This window comes from Homo sapiens, chromosome 17, assembly GCF_000001405.40.
Source record: "Homo sapiens chromosome 17, GRCh38.p14 Primary Assembly".
Classification (NCBI taxonomy): domain Eukaryota; kingdom Metazoa; phylum Chordata; class Mammalia; order Primates; family Hominidae; genus Homo; species Homo sapiens.
In genome coordinates, this window is record NC_000017.11 from 35,343,671 (window position 1) to 35,344,982 (window position 1,312).

At 40.9% G+C, this 1,312-nt stretch overlaps 1 pseudogene; it reads left to right on the forward strand.

Annotated features, from left to right (window-relative positions):
- Positions 1-522: 522 nt before the first annotated feature.
- LOC101060119 (RING-box protein 2-like) lies at positions 523-904 on the forward strand (annotated as a pseudogene).
- Positions 905-1,312: the final 408 nt, after the last annotated feature.

Below are 1,312 nucleotides of genomic sequence, written 5' to 3' on the forward strand. Positions count from 1 at the left end.
CTTCTTGGAAGTAACACACGTTATGCCTGCTTATACTTCATTGATCATAACAAGTCACATTGCCAAGCCTGAGACCAATGGGGCACAGAATATGATCTACTTCTGGGTAGGGATATCAACCTTATCAAACAATATTTCAATTTATCACACCATCTTTTGCTCCAAGATGACTGTACCAGATTCTGGCATCTTGTCAACATTTCAGCCAGCAGAAAAGAATTCACACTCTTTTCACGAGCACAATATGAAAATTATACACATTACCTTCCAATATTCCATTGGCCAGGCCTTGGGAACAAGCCATATCTATCTGCTTTGGAGCATGGGAAATACAGTTTGTGGTTTTTTGTTTTGGGGTATTTTTTTGTGTGTCTATCTTCCCCACTACCCCCAAAACCATACAGTTCTTACCTGGGCATCCCTATAGTGGGTTTTTTGTTTTGTTCTGTTTTTCTTTTTAATGTGGTCCAATAATTGTGTCTTACTTGGAATTTAGTCTCAACACTATTGAATAAATAACAAAAATCCAGTCTCCACTATAGGCTCTGCACAGCTGCCAATGCTAACGTGGAAGATGGCAAGGAGCCCTGTGCCTTGTCCTCTCACTCTGGGAGCACAGGCTGCAAGTTGGAAGGGCAACAAAAATGTTCTCTCTCCAGGTGTGAAACACAGTGGGCATGTAGAGCTGCGACACGGAGTGCCATACAACTGCCATCTGCAGGGTTGAGGTGATGGATGCCTTTCTTGGGTGTCAAGCTGAAAACAAGAGAACTGTGCTGTCATCTGAGGAGAATGTAATCACTCCTTCCACAACTGTTGCATGTCCCTGTGGGTACAACAGAGCAATCACTGACCTCTCTGCCAGCAAGACTGGATGGTCTAAAGAATAAGAGACGGAGAGTAGCAGAAGGCTTTCTTAGTGCACTTGCCCTAACCCTTGGTGGATCTTGTTATCAAGTGTCCAACAAAGGCTGGAACATTCCAGGGGATTAATTCTTCAAATAGGACACCATGAATCTGTCCTTTGGAAACTCATCAAGGCAGAATTTACAATTTCATCAGTTTTATTTTCAGGAATTCTCTACAATTAAGAAGATAATTTACTAAAAACAGTCTTTCCTACCTCTGAGGTGTGTGTCACACACACTGATTAGAAGTGCTATAGAAAAGAAAATTCCAAATCGAATGACCTTCAAAATTTGCCTGTTAATACCCAGGTGTGGAAACAGTTCCATTCATTCAGAGAACTTTTGTATGCTTGTGGTTGATCAGTTTTAAAAAAAGAGAATAGTAATAAATAAAGTACAGTTTA